The sequence below is a fragment of the Homo sapiens genome, chromosome X (genome assembly GCF_000001405.40).
Source record: "Homo sapiens chromosome X, GRCh38.p14 Primary Assembly".
NCBI classification, from domain to species: Eukaryota; Metazoa; Chordata; class Mammalia; order Primates; family Hominidae; genus Homo; species Homo sapiens.
In genome coordinates, this window is record NC_000023.11 from 129,797,074 (window position 1) to 129,816,185 (window position 19,112).

The following is a 19,112-nucleotide window of genomic DNA, read 5'->3' on the forward strand; positions in this document are numbered from 1 at the left end:
TTTATATCTATGAAGAAAAGGAAACTGCATTTCAATTTTTGAAAAAAAAAATAAAACTAAATTAACAAATAAATAGGGCCCACGCCTCTGGCCTCCAATACGGGACAGTAGCAGCAAAATCATTATCCTGCTGCCTTTTGGTACACGGTTCTGGAAAGATGAGAGGTGAATAATGGCCAAAGTGCTTAAAATCCATGCATGCCAGGGTGCACCTATCAGAGGAGATTCCTAAACCTTTTAAAACCCCTGTGTAATAGGTATTGCTCTAAGCTGGGGAAAGGAAAAGATCAGAAGGAGATGAATGCCTGGGAACATGATGTTTGGAAATCCTCTCCTACCCTGGGGAGGCAGCTCAGGGGTGGTGTGTCTCAGATATCAGGCCCAGTTTGGCATATAGGATGATTACAGGCTGGAGGTAGGTAGCTGTGCAAGGACCCCAAGGATCACAGTAGTTTGGGAGGGGCAGGTAAGGCGGGGCATCAAGGGAATGTAGAACAGGCCAGGGCCCAAGGGGCAAGAAAGGCAGTGCTGAGGAGGGCCACAGGGCCCAAAGCTCCTCCTCCAGGCAGGGCTGCTGACACCTATTGTCCTGCCCCATGTACTTCTAGAAGATGCCAAGTGGTGCCCTGAATCCAGCAACCAAGGTCTAGGGTGCAAAGAGCTGATTCTTCACAGCTGGAGACCTTACACGCCCACCCCAGCCTGGGATGTCAGCAGCCCAGAGAGCTGTAGCCTCTAGCTGACTCCCCTTCGAAGGGTGGGGACAGGCTGGTCTAAAAGGGTGATGAGGCAAGCTCTTCTTCTGCCCGTGGGCCTCTCCAGGGCCTGGGGAGAGCAAGCAGAAGCTTCTCTAGGGTAGTTGAGGCCTAGCACTTAGGAGCTCAGGCCCACCTGAGTTCAAGTCTTGGCTGTGTCACTTCCTAGCTGGGTCACCTTAGACAAGTCATTTAACCTCCTTGAGCCTCCGTTTCCACGACAATAATGTAGGAATACTAGCACTAGCCCCATGGGGCTGTTATGAAGATTTAATGTACTAGCATAAAGTCCTTTGCACAGTGTCCAGCACAAAATAAATGCTCAAGGAGTGATAGTGTGTCTGGCTGCCTCGATTTGCTCCATCCTGCTACCTCCATTTCACTCCTTTCAAGGCCCATCTGACCTTTGACTCCCAGTTAGTATAGTGAAGTGACCAAAAGCAAAAGGCCTTGGAGTTCAAATAAAGTGTTTTCAAACTCTTGCTACACCACTTACTAGTTATATGACATTGGGTAAAGTACATACATATACATTTCTTTTCTGTGGAACAGGAATAATGATCTAATAATACCTACCTCTTGGGGGTCATGAGAGAAATCAATCAGATAACTCGTACAAAGTTCCTGGCACATAGGACATTAAATGGCGGCTATTCGACTTTTTTGTAAACTCCAAGGCACTGAGCTCAAGACTGGGCACAAAGGCCATGTCGGTACATGCTTGTCTGAGGACTGACTGATGTTCAGACCTGTCATATCCCAGACACCACTGATGTCCAGGTCCCCAGGAGGTGTTGGGATTCAGGGGTAAAGGGTGCCAACTCTGGTACCCAGAGAGGCTGGTGATGAAAGAAAACCCACTTGAGGAGCCTGGGGCAGCCCTGGCTCTGCCCAGTCCACAGCAAGTTGATCAGCCCTGGGCATTAGACTTACTTTAGGCAACTCTCTTGGACTTCCAGGAGCTGCTAGAAAGAAGAGAATAAAGACCAGATTTCAGAAGAAAGAGTTGAGTCTAGCCAGCTCCTCACCAGTTCAGAGTTAGAGCCACCTTCTGTGTCTCCTTCCTATCAGGAGAAGCAGCTGGAGGCACCAGCACAGCCCAACTGAACCATGTCCTCTCTCACTTGCTTCCTCTGTATCTCACAACCTGACCTTAGACTACCCCAGCAGGTTCTGATCCGCCCCCCAAAGGCCTCTGCAAATTCCCTCTCCTAAACCCCAAACCCTATGGCACTGTGATCTGATACATGGCACTGAGGCCCCAGCCCCTATGAGTCAGTTTCTCATTTCCTACTCACAGAGCTCCCCGCCCACAGTTGGGCCATGAGAGACCTAGGCATTAAAACAAAGGCTAAACGAGGTGTTTTACGGGAAAAATAGGCACTGATCACCATCGTCTCAACAAGGCCCAACAAGGCCCTTCCCCCCTCCCAAGTCAGGAAATTCAGGATGAGGTATGAGGTTTCCCACTGGGGAAAAGAAGTGGCTCTCCCACCTCTCCTTCACAATAGAGGCTACCATAGCTTCTCACACAACATTGGCCATATTACATATTATTCAGCCAACAACACAATCAAGTGGGAAGGAACTGCCTCCCCTCTAGACTCAGCCAAGACTCCTCCTCCAGGAAGGACCTAAATAAATGGAATTCTATAGCACTTGATATGTAGGCTTCACCTTTTCCTATAACTTCACAGTAACCAATATAGCATTTGTATACCATTGCCTCTGGGACCTGCCAGGGATAGCGTCAGAAAGAGCCCAGAGCAATGGCCCTCACAAAGGGACAGCCAACTTGACTGTGGGAACTTAGCAAGGCAATTTCCTGACTTTCTGTGCTAAAGAAACCACATCATCAGTTCAACCTAAATGCAGGGGTCTGGAGAGAGACTTAAGAGAGTTAAGTTGAAAACAAAAATCCAACAACCAGCCTCATATCAGCCCGACTATATATAAGTCCTCTGTATGCCTAAAATGGAGAGCTTATCAGTAATATTCATCCCAAATGGCAAATAATCCTAAAAATCATTGCTGTTTCTCAACTTACGAGGGTTGGTACTGCAATTTCTCCTAAAGTTAACCCTAGCATGCAGTCAATCTTCAACAAGTATTTATTGAATGTTAAATAAATGAAAGCTTCATTTCATTCAAGTGTCATTTGCAGTTATTCTAACTCTTTTATCCATCTACACCTGCTTGACAGAGGACCAGTCGGTTATGCCAGAAAGCTCTCTAGACTGGGAGCCAGTACATCTGGGTTCTGGTCTTGGCTCTGACAGTAACTCTCTATGTGACCCTAAGTTACAGTATTTAATTTGAGGGAGAAAGAGAGAGAGAGAGAGAAGCATAGACTACATGATCAATATGTTCCTTTAAGCTATGTCGTTCAACAGAATCTGTGTTTTATGACGAATAATCATCATGTCTCGTATTTGGGCAGAAAACCCCAACCCTTTTAACCAAGTTGGAACAGCTAAACAGCTGGAGATGGGCAGGGGCTGGCAGAAAAAGCAGTGAGAAGGCAAGTGGGGGAGTGAAGAAAGTGAAGGGCTTGGAATGTCAGGGAGGTAATTCTACTCTAGATTCTAAAGTTGTAAAGCCACTTCTAAATCAAGGGCCCCTTCATTTCCTGGCCCGTGGTGAAGTGTGAGCTCTAAGTTCTAATTTATTAATCAATCAGAAAACCCCTTAATGCCTGAAGAAAAATAGACAAAAGATTAGGACAGACAATTTACAGAAGAAATACAAATGGTAATAAACATAAGGCAGAGGAGAGGTGCAGAAAGTGTTTAACTTCACTATTAATCAAATAAATATAAACTAACACTGAGATATAAGTTTACAACTATCAAATTACCATAGGTTTAGGTCGGGCACGGTGGCTCACGCCTGTAATCCCAGCACTTTGGGAGGCCGAGGCGGGCAGATCACTTGAAGTCAGGAGTTGGAGACCAGCCTGGCTGACATGGCAAAACCCCGTCTCCAATAAAAATATAAAAATTAGCCAGGTGTGGTGGCGCACACCTGTAGTCCCAGCTAATGAGGAGGCTGAGGCAGGAGAATCACTTGAACCCGGGAGGGAGAGAATGCAGTGAGCCAAGATCGTGCCACTGCACTCCAGCCTGGATGACAAAGCGAGACTCTGTCTCAAAAAAGCTAAAATAAAAATTCGAAAGGTTTAAATGACATGGGTTGATTAGAGTCTTCTCTGATACACTGCTGGCAAAACAAACAGGGACGGCCTTTCAATAAAGCAATTTGGCCACATTTATCAAGAGCCTTTAAAAGAGCATTCCCTTTGACTCAATAATTCCACTTCTAGGAATCTATCCTAAAGAAATACTCACAGACACACCCATATTTAAGGAAGTTCATCACAGCATTATTTGTAATAATGAAAAATTAGAAACTCTTAAATGCCTGACATGTACACATTACAAAGTCATTAAGAAGTATTTTTGAGCCAGGCGCGGTGGCTCACGCCTGTAATCCCAGCACTTTGGGAGTCCGAGGCAGGTGGATCATGAGGTCAGGAGATCGAGACCATCCTGGCTAACACAGTGAAACCCCATCTCTACTAAAAATACAAAAAATTAGCCGGGCGTGGTGGCAGGCGCCTGTAGTCCCAGCTACTCGGGAGGCTGAGGCAGGAGAATGGCATAAACCCGGGAGGCGGAGCTTGCGGTGAGCCGAGATCGCACCACTGCACTCCAGCCTGGGCGACAGAGCAAGACTCCGTCTCCAAAAAAAAAAAAAAAGAAGTATTTTCGGCTCGGAGTAGTGGCTCATGCCTGTAATCCCAACACTTTGGGATGCCGAGGCAAGTGGATTGCTTGAAGTGCGGAGTTTGAGACCAGCCTGGCAAAATGGCGAAACCCAGTCTCTACAAAAAAATACAAAAAATTAGCCAACTTTGGTGGCATGTGCCTGTAGACCCAGCTACTTGGGAGGCTGAGGCAGGAGGACTGCTTGAGCCTGGGAGGCGGATGTTGCAGTGGGCTGAAATCACGCCACTGCACTTCAGCATGGGTGACAGAGTGAAACCCTGTCTCCAAAAAAAAAAAAAAAAGTATTTTCAAATAATTTCTAATGATATGGAAAATACTAAGTTAAAAAAGCAGGTTTACAAAACTACATTTATAGTCTAATTCCAGTTATGTTTAAAAAAAACATGTGCACAGAAAAAAAGACTACCAAGAAATGCACCAAAACATTAATTAATGGTGATTATTACATCTTGGTGATGAGGTTATGGGTGATTTTTTCAAATCTTACTATTCTGTACTTCTCCAATTTTCAAAAATGAGCTTTAAATTTTTAAAAAAGCACATTAAGGGTGTGAGGGGAGGAGGATGTTTATTTTCTCTCCAAGCTTTCCAAATATTAAGGGTTAGAAAGGGACCCTTGAGATAATCTAGTCCAGTGGTCCTCAAAACTAGCAGCCCTAGCACTCCCTTGGTATATGTCATATTTTGAATGCATCTTTTGCCACCCTGAAATGAACTTTATAGTTAATATGACCTGCTTATGTACATAATTTCAAGAATAGTAATATAATATACTAATTAGACTATAAAATCACTGTGCAAGCAATCTCTATAAATGAAGACTCATACAAGTATGTTATATTGGCAACTTAAATACCCATGAATGGCACTGTCGTCAGTGACATGATTTTCAAAAGTTGTGAGCAACTCTTAGTAAAGTTTTGAACAAAATAAAATATCCTCTTCCGCCAATGTACACAGTTGTTGCATTCCTGGAAATTCAGTGTATATATTAAAACTGTAAAAACATTTTGTGTTCATTTGTAAAATAATTAGGTCTAGCTAATTATACCAGGTTTTTCCACCTACATTAACGTACAGAACATTGAAAGTTTTACTGATGTAGATTTGCAGTTCCCATTGCCCTTTCATATTAATCCCAAATATAAAGTTTATAATGATTCTTTTTTCTGTGAGCTGGGCTTGCATCCTTTAAAACAAATGATATTCAGAGTTGTAGCCTTTGACACTGTTTCTAAAGCCTATCACCAAGAACAGCAAGAGATTCCTAGAATGTATTCTCCAAACTGACACAAATGCTTTTTGAATTACTGGGAACATGACTCTTCTTTAGTAGCACCAAGGCATGAGAACGAATTATCATTTTTTTAAAACCATTTACTGTGCTCCCTTGGTGATTTCCCCTGGCCTGGCCCCAACTCAGGAGTATAAAATGAACTGAGCTGGAAGAAAAGGACTAACAGGGCCAGGCCATGGGGAGAGGGGAGGGGGCTGGGTTGCTAGGTTACTACTAGAGCCAATCCAAGTGGTCCCAGAGGGGTACCAGATACAGGACAGGTCCTTCTCTCTGCCCCCACTAAGTTGAGGGCCCTCTCAGAGGAAGGGGGTCAAAAGGTGGGGGAGGGAGTCCAATCACTCACACTAGGCACAAGTAAAGAAATGAGGCAGAAGCACAAAGAAACAGACAGCCCTGTATTTCTAAAACCATTCAAGGCTCCTTCATTAATTGGCTTCCCCCCAAAAGAAAGATTTCTTTATTAAGAAATACCAGAGAGTGAAAAACCCCCAACACATACACATTTGTAGGCTCACACAAAAGTGCAGAGATTTACATATTAAATTGCATTTAAATTAGAAAATAGATTTAAAAACAAAATACTTTTTTTCTCCAACAAAGTAAAGAGATTTGGTCAGTAGGAACGGGTGCTTTATGGGTAAAGGCAGGATGGTCAGGACAGGGAGAATGGAATTTAGCTGCTACGGAATCAGAATCCACCTCTAACCCAACCTCACTCCTGGGGTAAAAGCAAAGGAGGAGATGATGATCTCAGCTAGGGCCAGGAAGGCCTCAGAGCTGAATGGACATGAAGAAATGGCTCACCACAGCCAATTTCCACCTGCCCCCAGAGGTTTGGGATCAGTGCCAACCATCCTGGCCTGGGAAAGTAGGGTGCATAGGAAGCTTGAGGAAGAAGGAGGAAGGGGAGAGTTGGAGACAGTGTCAGCCATTGAAAAGACCAAACAATTTAAGGCCCTTTTCCCCTGGGAACATTGATTCTTTAATCTCCCCTCTGATCAGATAGGGACAGTCCCAGCTGGTGCATGGTATGAATGGGACAGATCTTCAGGCCAACATCTTAAACATGGAAGATTTATTAAGGAAAAGAAAGAGGGCAGGGAGTATGAAAAAGCAGAAAATCATTTCACACTAGAGATAAGAGATTTCCACTTTGACCCTTCCCATCAGAAAGAGAAAGCTTCTCTGTCTGACCTAAGGGTCCTCAGGAGAACACTTGAGGTAAGGTGAGGGAGGAGAGAGAGCCATCTGAGCCCAGGAGAGGAGATGGGCTGAGTACTTATTAAAATGGGGTTCATATGAGTGCCAAGTTACCTGGGGAAACCTAACAACTTACAAATTCTCCAGGTTTGGCTTTATAACTTCAAGAAAAAAAACTGAGAGAACCAGAAAAAGAAGCAGACAGGAGAGGGATCTGAGTCAGTCTCTCCCCATCTCTCTTCCAATCTCTCTCTCTCTCTCTCTCTCAAGAATGCTCAACTTAAATCCTGTTAAAAGGAAAAAGGAAGACATGGAAAAAGGTCTGGGAGCAGCCAAATTTCATTAATTCCAATTAACTGGGAAGTATGAGATGGGAATTGATAGGGAGTCTTGATTATACACCACCTAGAAAGAAATATATACCATCACTTGTAAAAGACCACTGATCAAATATTTCCAAGGGGGGGCCCTGATGAGCCTGCGTTAATAACTAAGACTTATTAGCAATTAACGGCATCCATCTGCTTCAAAACAATATCCTAATATAGAGCTTGTTCTCTTAAGTAAATATAATCCCTCTACCTTCCTGATCCTGTTCACACTATATCTCCTTGAAAGTCCTTTCTTCATAGTCCAGAATAAGAAAACCTTCAGCCCAGAATGTAGTATAGATCAATGGAGAGTTTGGAACTACCTCTCCAACCCAAGGGTGCCCTGGTTAATGGAAGTTTGGGGAGTAACAAGCAACCCCTTCCAACCCCCACCCCCACCCTACACACAAACATATTCTTGAAATGGAAGGGGGAAGGAGGAGGCAGGAAGTTTGCATTAGACACAGTTTAATCGCCTTCAAATAGATGAAAAGTTCTGGTTTACACTCCCCCACCGCATAAGTCATCCAGACAGGACCCTGGCTTAGAAAGAGGAAAACACAGGTGCTCTAGGAAATATAGCCACATATAATACATAAATCTTCTTCCCTGAAATAGAGCAGGTCCTGAGCAGAGCTGACTGGGGGCCACAGCCCACCCCCAGGGTGAAGTGGCTCTGGGACTCTGCCGGTGGAAGTGCTGGAAGAGCGGGGCTTGGAGGAAGCCCCCAGTGTGGTTACCATAGCCAGAGGTGGGCCGAGGCCTTAGGGTGAGTTACCCGAGAGGGCAGCAGTGCTGGGCTTTCCCTCACTCAGCCGAGGCTTAATGGAAGAACTGGTTAGCATTTTTTTTTTTTTGAGGGTACATCGGGGGAGAGGAGAGGAGAGGAGAGCCTCTCTGTGCCTTGGTTTCCCATTTGTGCATTCAGGGCCTCTGCAGGCCTCACACAGGGAGTCTGAGGGGATAGTGTTTAAGTGAGCACTCAGGCTTCCTCTGAGGAAAAGAAATGACCAAAGTGCAGACTTTTATTACTGCCATTCCTGCTCCTAATGGGAGCAGGAGTCAAAAGGAAAAACAAATTAAAAGGGGCTAATGAGAAAGGAGGAGAGATGAGACAGAGAGTGTGAAGGGCTATGCCGCTGGCATCTCATAAATTCTTATTGAGAATGGCACAGGTATTAAAAAAGTTTCTGGGTAGTCTACGAGAAATGTCAATTATTATCTCTACTACAACTACTTACATATATCTAATGGGAAAAGAGTGGGGCTTAGGTGTCAGAGTGGATGGGAGACAAAGGAGAAGCTACACTAATAAATACAACAAGTGGAAGGTACCTGTCCCATTCCTAAAAGGATTTGTGGGCAATGCTGGCACTTGGTGGCCAGGAGAATCTTCTGACCCCACTCTCCCTCCTCTTCAGTCCTGAAGACCCCAAGAACCCAGTTAGGATCCCCTGGCCAGAGGTCTCTGTGACTGCCTCTGGACTCAGCACGTGCAGCAGCTTGGGAGGATTTGAGCCAGTCTCAAAAACTTTTAGCCCCAGAATGAGACCAGTGACCCCAAGCAGGAGGGCTGGGATCTGGAGGGAAGAGAGGGGGTCCAAGGGGACCCTGTGGCTGAGGCCATGGAGAACCAGTGCCAGGGCCCAAGAGACCCATTTTTCCAGTTATCAGAGGTGACTGACATCTTCTGCCACTGCCTTGAGTTCAGAAATTTAAAAAAGCTTGCAGCAAGAAAATGCCAGTGTGCAACTGGGTGACTAAAGACCAAAGAAAAACAGTTAAAAGGGACAGCTTACTTGCTCTCTGTCTCAGGTTTAACTTCTCACCTGAAATCTCTCATAGCCCTAATTAAACACAAACAAAAGTCTCTTCCATAGATAGGCTACTTCTCAGCTTCAGCTGCCTCCTGTGGTGGCTCTGGGGGCTCTGGAGGTGGCATCTCTTCGGGAGTGCTGCTGTCCTCCGGCATCTCATTTGAGTTCAGGTGTTCTGTGGGGGCCTGAGAAGGAAAAGATATGAGATTCAACACAAAGCTGTTCCTCAAAATCCAAATGCAGATAAACCTTAGACACTGAACTCTTCCTCTCAGCCCCCTGATCACACTGATGCTACAGATATGCAGCCACCAACACCAAACTCAGAACCAACACCAAGCTATCGTCTTCTCGGCAGAACACAACTGAAGTTTATTTGAGTTTGATCCTTAACTGTTGGTTGGGGACAGATTTTTCTATTATTATTAATAGTCATAATAATAGGAATCACAAATAATTACACAGGTCCTCCCCACTTCAGAACAAATGTCATAACATACTTATGTAACAAGGCCTGACCCAATGGTCCTCAATCGTGTTTCTGCCCGAACACACAGCTCATTAGAATAGTGATTCTGAACCAAAGAAGGCCAAGTGTCCAAATTTTCAGCTGGTCATATGTGGTTTGAAAATGTCCCCAAGTGATTCTAAAATACCACCCTTCTCCACTTTGAACCAAGAATAACTAACCTAGATTGTTACAATTTGAGTCCAGACTCATTTAAAAAATAATATTAAAAATGACAACAATAATATATAAACACGGGTTGCTGTACTTTAAAAGGAAATTCAAAATTTAGGAAAGGCAAAGTAGAGAACTATTATCTACCTTATAAAAAGAATTCACTTAAAAGTATGATTCTGGCCGGGCGCGGTGGCTCACGCCTGTAATCCCAGCACTTTGGGAGGCCGAGGCGGGTGGATCATGAGGTCAGGAGATCGAGACCATCCTGGCTAACAAGGTGAAACCCCGTCTCTACTAAAAATACAAAACATTAGCCGGGCGCGGTGGCGGGCGCCTGTAGTCCCAGCTACTCGGGAGGCTGAGGCAGGAGAATGGCGTGAACCCGGGAAGCGGAGCTTGCAGTGAGCCGAGATTGCGCCACTGCAGTCCGCAGTCCGGCCTGGGCGACAGAGCGAGACTCCGTCTCAGAAAAAAAAAAAAAAAAAAAAAGTATGATTCTATTTTAAAACAAAGTTCAAACTACTAAAAATCTATTAGAACTAATGAACAAGGGCCGAGTACGGTGGCTCGTGCCTATAATTCCAGCACTTTGGGAGGCCGAGGAGGGTAGATCACTTGAGGTCAGGAGTTTGAGACCAGCCTGGCCAACATGGCAAAACCCGGTCTCTACTAAAAACACAAAAATTAGCCGGTGTGGTGGTGGGCACCTGTAATCCCAGCTACTTGGGAGGCTGAGGCAGAAGAATCACTTGAACCCAGGAGGTGGAGGTTGCAGTGAGCCAAGATGGCGCTGCCGCACTCCAGCCTGGGCAACAGAGCGAAACTCCATCTCATAAAATAAAAACAAAAACAAACAAAAAAGAACTAATGAACAAGCTTGGCAAGGTTTTAGGGTATAAGATCCATATATAAAAATCAATTGTCTTTCAATACACTCCAAGTGAAAAATCCAAAAATGAAATTAGTAAAACAATTTCACTTACAATAACATGAAAAATAATCAAATATTTATGAATAAATGTAACAAAAGTGTAAAACTTATACTCTGAAAACTACAAAATGTTGTTGAAAGAAATCAAATCATACCTAAATATGTGAAAATACAGTCCATGTAAATGGCTCAGAATATTTAATCTTGTTAGGATGGCAATATTTCCCCAAATTGATCTATAGATTCAATGAAATCCCCATCAAAATTCCAGCTGGCTTCTTTTCATAAATGACAAGTTGATCCTAAGATTCATACGGAAATTTAAGGCACCCAGAAGAGCCAAAACAATCATGAAAAAGAAGTATAAAGTTGGAGGACTCACATTTCCTGATTTCAAAACTTACTACAATGCTAAAGTAATCAAGACAGCGTGGTACTAGCATAAGAACAGACATATTGAGCAATACAATAGAACTGAAAGTCCAGAAATGAACTCTCACATTTATAGATTTTCAACAAGGGTGCCAAGACAAGTCTATGGGAGAAGAATAGTCCTTTCAACAAATGGTGCAGAGACAACTGGATAGCTACAGGCAAAAGAAAGAATGTGGACCCTCTACCTCACACCATATATAAAAATTAACTCAAAATGGATCAAAAACCTAAATGTAAGAGCCAAAACTGTACAGCTCTTACAAGAAAACAAGGGCATAAATCTTCATGACTTTGGATTAGGCAACAGTTTCTCAGATATGACACCAAAAAGTACAAACAACAAAAGAAAAAAATAGACAAACTGGACTACATCAAAATTTAAAAATTTTGTGCTCCAAAGGACACTATCAAGAAAATTAAAAGATAACCCATGGAATAGGAGAAAATATTTGCAAATTGTATATCTGGTAAGAGACTTGCATACAGATTACATAAAGAACTCTTACAACTCAACAATAAAAAAGACAAACAATCCAATTAAAAAATAGACAAAAGCTCTGAACAGACACTTCTCCAATGAGCACATAAAAATGGCCAATAAGCACATGAAAAGATATTCGACATCATTAGTCATCAGGGAAATGCAAATCAAAACCACAATGAGATACCACTTCACATTCACTAAGATGGCTAGACTCAAAATGTCAGATAATAAGTGTTGCAGAGGATGTAGAGAAACTGGAACCCTCAGGCACTGCTAGTGGGGGTATAAAATGGTGCAGCCACTTTGGAAAACAGTTCAGCAGTACCTTAAAGGTTAAACATAGAGCTACCATGTGACCTAGCTATTTTACTCCCAGGTATATAGCCAAGAGAAATGAAAATATATGGCCATGCAAAAATTGGTACACAAATGTTCATAGCAGCATCACTCATAATAATCAAATGGTGGAAACAATCCAAATGTCCATCAACTGATGAATGGATAAATGAAATGTGGTATATCCATATAATGGAATATCATTTGGCCATATAAAGGAACGAAGTACTGCTACATAGTACAACATGGACAAACCTCGAAAACATGCTAAGTAAAAGAAGCCAGTCACAAAAGACCACATATTGTATGATTTCATTTACATGAAATACCCAGAAGAGAGAAATCTGTACTAAAAGGAAGTAGATTAGTGGTTGCCTAGGGGTGTGGCTGGGGAAGTTCAGGGGAAAGGGAGAGTGACTGCTAATGGCTACAGGGTTTCTTAGGGTGGAAGGGTAACGAAAATGCTCTAAAATTGATTGTTATAATGATTGTACAACTCTGTGAATATTCTAGACCAGTGAATCATACATTTTAAATAGGGATCAGTTGGGCGCAGTGGCTCACGCCTGTAATCCTCTACTTTGGGAGGCTGAGGTGGGCAGATCATCTGAGGTCAGAAGTTCGAGACCAGCCTGACCAACATGGAGAAACCCCGTCTCTACTAAAAAATACAAAATTAGCTGGGCGTGGTGGCACATGCCTGTAATCCCAGCTACTCAGGAGGCTGAGGCAGGAGAACCCGGGAGGCGGAGGTTGCAGTGAGCTGAGATTGCACCACCGCACTCCAGCCTGGGTGACAGAGCGAGACTCCGTCTCAAAAAAAAAAAAAAAAAAAATTGGGACCTATGGTATGTGAATCATATCTCAATAAAGTTCTTATTAAAAAAAGAAAGCTCAGCTGGGCACGGTGGCTCACGCCTGTAATCCCAACACTTTGGGAGGCTGAGGCGGGAGGATCACGAGGTCAGGAGATGCAGACCATCCTGGCCAGGATGGTGAAACCCTGTCTCTAGTGAAAATACAAAAATTAGCCAGGCATGGTGGCGGGCGCCTGTAATCCCAGCTACTCGGAGGCTGAGGCAGAGAATTGCTTGAACCTGGGAGGTGGAGTTGCAATGAGCCGAGATCACACCACTGCACTCCAGCCTGGGTGACAGAGCAAAACTCCATCTCAAAAAAAAAAGCTCAAGTAATATTTTTTTTTAGGAAAGTACTTTATATACTTTAAAGATATACTTTATATATCTTAAATAGGACAGCTGGGAGAGTTTCCACAACTTTTGCATATTCCAGTTAGGAAGCCCCCTTCTACCACAGTAACCACATCACTAACTCTAATACAATCCCCTGACCTCTGTCTTTGCCCCTATAGCATTTTATGCTTTCCTCATCAAGGCACTTTTCACAATGTTGAGCAATGGCCTGTTTACTTGTTTCTTGCCCCCACTAGACAATGAGCTCCTTGAGAGCAGGGACATCGTTTGCCTCATTCATTGGTATAACCCTGGCAGCTAGTACAGTGGCTGGCACAGAGTCACTCAATATACACCAAAGAAATGACTAAATCTTAATCTACATCAAGGACACAAAGATCTGAAGGCAACATCAGGGCAGGTGTAGAGGCAGGGAAGCTGGGGTGATTAGAATACAATATTGCCTAATTATATTTCCAAGCTGTAAATTAGCCTCCGCCCTCTCTATATCGACCCAGCCTTAAGTCAGGAACACTTACTGGGCTCTGTGGCAAGAGGCTGCTACTGGTCTCTTGAGTACTGGGAGGTCGACTTCCACTTTCCTCCAGTGGCAAAATACCCCTTCGATCCAGCACACTGAAGGAGATAAGAGAGTTAACAAAGAACTGGGCATTCACCCCTCCACCCACCTGGCCTACGGAATTTTGCTGCATAGACTGGAAAATATAAACCTGTCCTTTGGCAATCTAGCCTGAACACAGCACATGCCTCTTATCTCCCATTCACTTTTTCTTCCACAAACCAGGAAATGTCACATTAACCAGGGAACAAACAAATGAAATTAAGAATGAAAGATCATCCCTCCAAAACAACCAGCCCATGGTCTATGGTCCATGTAGACATGGTACCAAGTGGCAAGCCCTGGAAAGACCTATTTGACACCAAGAGGCCACACTCAGAAAAACACATCAGACAAGGTAACAGGATCAGGTTGAGCTGCTCATCCCAACAGTCCCAGGACTTTTGAGTGCCCTGAGCACCTGGGGGGCAAGGGGCCACACAGCACTTCACAGCAGTTCTTCACAATATTGCCATGGCTGTAGGGATTCTGGACGCGATTCTTCCCTGTCCATGATCCTTTGATCTGCAAGATAAAAACCAAGGCTGACATTAAAAATAATGTTAAAATGAACAAATAATAATAATAAAATTAAAAACAGACACAAAAAAGAAAAATAATAATAATAATGTTGAAGAAACACATGCAGCATGGGATAATAAAAAAGTTCTGGAAATGGATGGTGGCAATGGTTGCACAACAATGTGATGCCACTGAACTGTACATTTAGGATATGAGGGCGATCTGGCTGCAACAACTGTCACCCCATTGATCGCCAGGGTTGAAAGACATTTAATATAGCACACTTTATATCATGTATATTTTATCACAACAAAAAAGAAATACATACACAGCCATGAAAAATACTCACAATAGAGTGAAAAAAGCAGATAACTGAATGATATATACTATTTTTATTTAAAAGTACATAATATAAACACATAAATAAACATGGAAAAAAGTCTAGACAAGTCTAGAATATATAAATCATACTACTAACAAAGGTGATGTCTAAGAAGTAAAGTAAGAGGAACTTACTTTTTTCTTTTTGCTCATCTGTATTTTCTGATTTTCTACAGTGAATGTAGATTAATTGCTAACTTTTTTTTTTTTTTTCCAGACAGAGTCTCATTCTGTTGTCCAGGCTGGAGTGCAGTGGCGTGATCTTTGCTCGCTGCAACCTCCACCTCCCGGGTTCAAGTGATTCTCCTGCCTCAGCCTCCCGAGTAGCTGGGACTACAGGTGCACACTAACACATCCGGCTATATTTTTGTATTTTTAGTAGAGACAGGGTTTTGCCATGTTGGCCAGGCTGGTCTTGAACTCTTGACTTCAGGTGATCCGCCCGCCTCAGCCTCCCAAAGTGCTGGGATTACAGGCGTGAGCCACCACACCCAGCCTAATTGGTAACTTTTTATATAGCAAGGATTCATCCAGTGCAACTGTCCCTCTCCATGCCAAACAGAGGCACCAGCTAGCCTTTAAGGACCTGTGAACAGTTAAAGGCTGTATACCCACCCAACTTTTCAACCTCTTCTTCCTAATGCTCCACAAGCATTCAACAAAGCCCTCTCCTTTCTCTTCCACACATCTGACTTAACAACCTCGCATACCACGTTTCTGCCTGCCTCAACCTCCCAGGCCCTGGAGACTCGGTAGTTCTCTAGCAGGTAGCAAGAGGATAGGCTTTGGGAAGAAGAATATGTGGTGAGGAGAAGAGAAAGTTGACTCACGTCTTCATTGGTTGTCTGGTTGAGAGCCACGAGGAAAGTATGAAATCCAGTCAGTCCCACGACGGACCAGAGTGTAAAGAAGCAAATGAGGACTTCTAGAACAGTGAGGTGTGGTTAAGGAGTATTGAAGAACTCAACATCAGGAGACTTGATGCCTCCGCCCATATTCAGAGCACCAGTCAGACCATCTTTACCTCCTGGAACGTATATCACAAAAAGCCATGTTTCCATATATAACAATAGATGAATTCTGAACTTACTGGATAGATCCCTTATGAAAGAATTTCTAGCGTATCTAGGGTATTTAAGGGTGTGCCTATTTACCCATCATTGGCTCTTGGAAGGGGATGCATGGGAGGGGCCAAAGCTAAACAATGTTGGCCATCACTGCCAATGGAAATTCTGTCAAAAAACAAAATTCATGTAATCCCGGCACTTTGGGAGGCCAAGGTGGGCGGATCACAAGGTCAGGAGTTCGAGAACAGCCTGGCCAACATGGTGAAACCCCCGTCTCTATTAAAAATACAAAAAATTAGCTGGGCGTGGTGGCGGGCATCTGTAGTCCAAGCTACTCGGGAGGCTGAGGCAGGAGAATCATTTGAACCCAGGAGGCGAGCTGGGGCAACAGTACAAGACTCTGTCTCAAAAAAAGAAAATTCATAAATGAAGAACTGGTGGGGGAAAAAAAAGAGGATGTGATTTATAGAAATCTCATCTGAACCCCCTTTGCAGAAATGCAGCCACTGTCCTGAGCAGGGGGTGAAGGAAAGACCTCCCTTTTAGTCCCGGTCATCTTCCATTCTGGTTGCTACCACTAAGACTATATTTTTTTAAATTATTTTAGACCTTGGCACTCTCTGATATCTGAAAAACTAGATAGTGGGAGAACTGTGGGGAAAAAGCATGCTGGAAAGTAGCTTAAGAAGGCTTCACAGGGACATACTGCCAGCGGAGGATATGTTCCAGGAGTTTCTTTCAATGTCTCCAAGAAGCCAATTTTCAAAGATTCTGTGAAATTGGATGGAAGAGTAGAGAGAAAAATTAGTGACTTCAGTCAAAACTACACACTATCCTAGTGCCTACTCACTTCCTTCCCTCCCTCTCCCGTGTTACACACTGGCAAGAGCTAAGCTCTCACTCGGGCAAGGGTGAAGAGCCTCATCTCCTAGCTGGTAGTCTCATGACTAAAGAGTTCACATTTCCAGTGCAGGACCAGGCCCTGGACTAGACAGGCAGGCAGAAGAGCAGCAGGCTCCCTTCCCTTTTCCCTAGCCCCCAACTATGGACATGTTAGGGGGATATTAACAGATAAAAGAAATCAGAAATACCCAAGAAAAATCCTCTCTCCTTGCCAATACGTGTCCCTCCCTTGTTCAAAATCCAGCTCAGAACTCTTCTCTTTCCAGAAAGCTGTCTTAAGACCACTCCCTTAACTCCACATCACATCTGCTCTTAGATTGGCGTGTGTGTGGGTGTGTATGTTTGTGCACATGTACATATGTGGGTGTGCTTTCTATCTCCCAAACTAGACCATGAGCTACAAAAAGACATTTCTCAGGCAAAACCCTTACCCTTTTCTACCCCTTAGCACAAGGCAAGTTTTACAAGGCAGAAGAAGAGAGGATGCTCCGAGACAAAATACATCCCCAGCCTTTGGGATTACCTCAGAAATGCCCCAGTACTCTGGATACAGACCAGTAATTATGGCCCCAGTGCCCAGCAGTTGGCCAAAGAGAAGGCCAACACACTGATTAATACTCATTGATGTGCACTGAGGTTTGCAACCCTGCTCAAGAGCAGATAACTGTGCTCATTTCTAACCTGTCCTAAAGTACCTTTCACAATGGTACCACCAGGAAACCCAACAACCCTCTAAGCTGCCCTTAACTCTTCCCCCACCCAGCCCCACTCCAACAACGGACACTGCCCTGTATACTCACTGAGGGCCACATAGACGATGTTGAAGGCGAAGACATAGATTGTGAGGAGGGAGAGAGAAAGGATGAAGAGGTAGAAGTAGCGGTAGTTCCTCTTTCCAACACAATTCCCCACCCAGGGGCAGTGATGGTCGAAGCGCTCTGTGGGAGAAAGAGAGAGTCCAAAGCCAAAAGCCTCCAGAACAAAAATCAACCCCACCATCCCTATAATACCTAATTCAAAGACCTCCAGGATCATTGTCTATTTCAGTTGTAAAAAATATAGGGTTTTTTTTTTTTTTTACTTTTTCAAAATGTTTTCATAACCATCTCATTTGATCCTCACAATTTCCCTGGAACTTGGGCAAAAGGAGATACTCTTTTCCCCACTTTACAGATGAAGAAACAAAGGCATGGAGAGGTTAAGTGATTTGCCTCACTCAGCTCATTAAAAGCAGAGACACTGCTTTTCCAAATAAAATCTTAATCGGTGGGCCTACTAAGTTCAAGAAGAATAAACAGGTCAAAATAGCCAAGGAAAAATGTAAAACTACAATATTTAAAATGGTATGGCATAGTTCAATGGAATGGAAAGAGCCCAGAAACAGATCTTAGAATATATAAGATTTTGTTGTCTAATAAACTCAGCATTACAAAATCAGAGGTAAAAGGAAGTATTATTCCATAAACAATTACGTGACAATTGGCTATTTGGTGCAAAATAAGGATCGATTTTTTTGTCTTCATACTACTTGTCATAGTAAATTCCAGATGAATTAAAGAACTAAATGTAAAAACAAAGTGAATCCATAAAATAACTATAAAGAATAAATGTTTATTTGTCCTCTATATGCAGAAGGACTTTCTAAGCATAAAAGTACTGGAAGAAAACAGATGACAAGGAAAAATAGATTTGACTCCATAAACTTTAAAAAAGTACTTTGTGGTTTTGATTTGCATTTCCTTGGTGATCAATGATGTGATTATTACACATTGCATGCCTGTATCAAAACTTCTCATGTACACCATAAATATATATACCTACTATATACCAACAAAAAATTAAAAATTTAAAAAATATTTTGTGTATGTTAAAATTACCATAAAGAAGACTAAAGAAAAAAAAACAATGGCAATCTATGTAAAGTTGTACCTGACTATATGAAAAGTTCTTAGAAATCAATAGGAAAATACAAATACTTCGTCAAGAAAATAATAGTCAAAAGTTACTTGAAATTTGCTAAGAGAGTAATCTTAAGTGTCCTCACCACACACACACATGCACACACAATGGTAACTATGTGTGGTGATGAATATGTTCATTTGATTGTGGTAAGCATTACAGGCAGACACCAAAATCCACCCATACTCAAGTCATTCAGCAGCCCTGCAGAACCCACGGATAAGAAAAGTTGCCCCTCATGTACACAGGTTTTGCATCTTGTGAATACTGTACATTTGAACCTTGAACAACTCAGGTTAGAACTGCGTGCGTCCACTTGTACATGGATTTGTTTCAATAAATACAGTTGGCCCTCCGTATCAACAGGTT

General features: G+C 43.1%; 1 protein-coding gene across 3 annotated transcripts in view; it reads right to left on the bottom strand.

Moving 5' to 3' along the window:
* ZDHHC9 (zDHHC palmitoyltransferase 9) overlaps nt 6,215-19,112 on the bottom strand; it is a 40,599-nt gene continuing 27,701 nt past the window's right edge. For 2 of the 3 annotated variants that reach the window (NM_016032.4, NM_001008222.3), the window contains 6 exons: nt 17,585-17,722; nt 16,604-16,652; nt 15,645-15,747; nt 14,333-14,436; nt 13,832-13,928; nt 6,215-9,413 (listed from right to left, as the gene is read on the bottom strand). In NM_016032.4, coding sequence (NP_057116.2) covers nt 9,297-9,413; nt 13,832-13,928; nt 14,333-14,436; nt 15,645-15,747; nt 16,604-16,652; nt 17,585-17,722 — 608 coding nt within the window. In that variant the 3' untranslated portion in view covers nt 6,215-9,296. Of the gene's footprint in view, nt 9,414-13,831; nt 13,929-14,332; nt 14,437-15,644; nt 15,842-16,587; nt 16,653-17,584; nt 17,723-19,112 lie in introns of those variants that run through there. The other variant, XM_047442151.1, reaches the window with a different exon arrangement.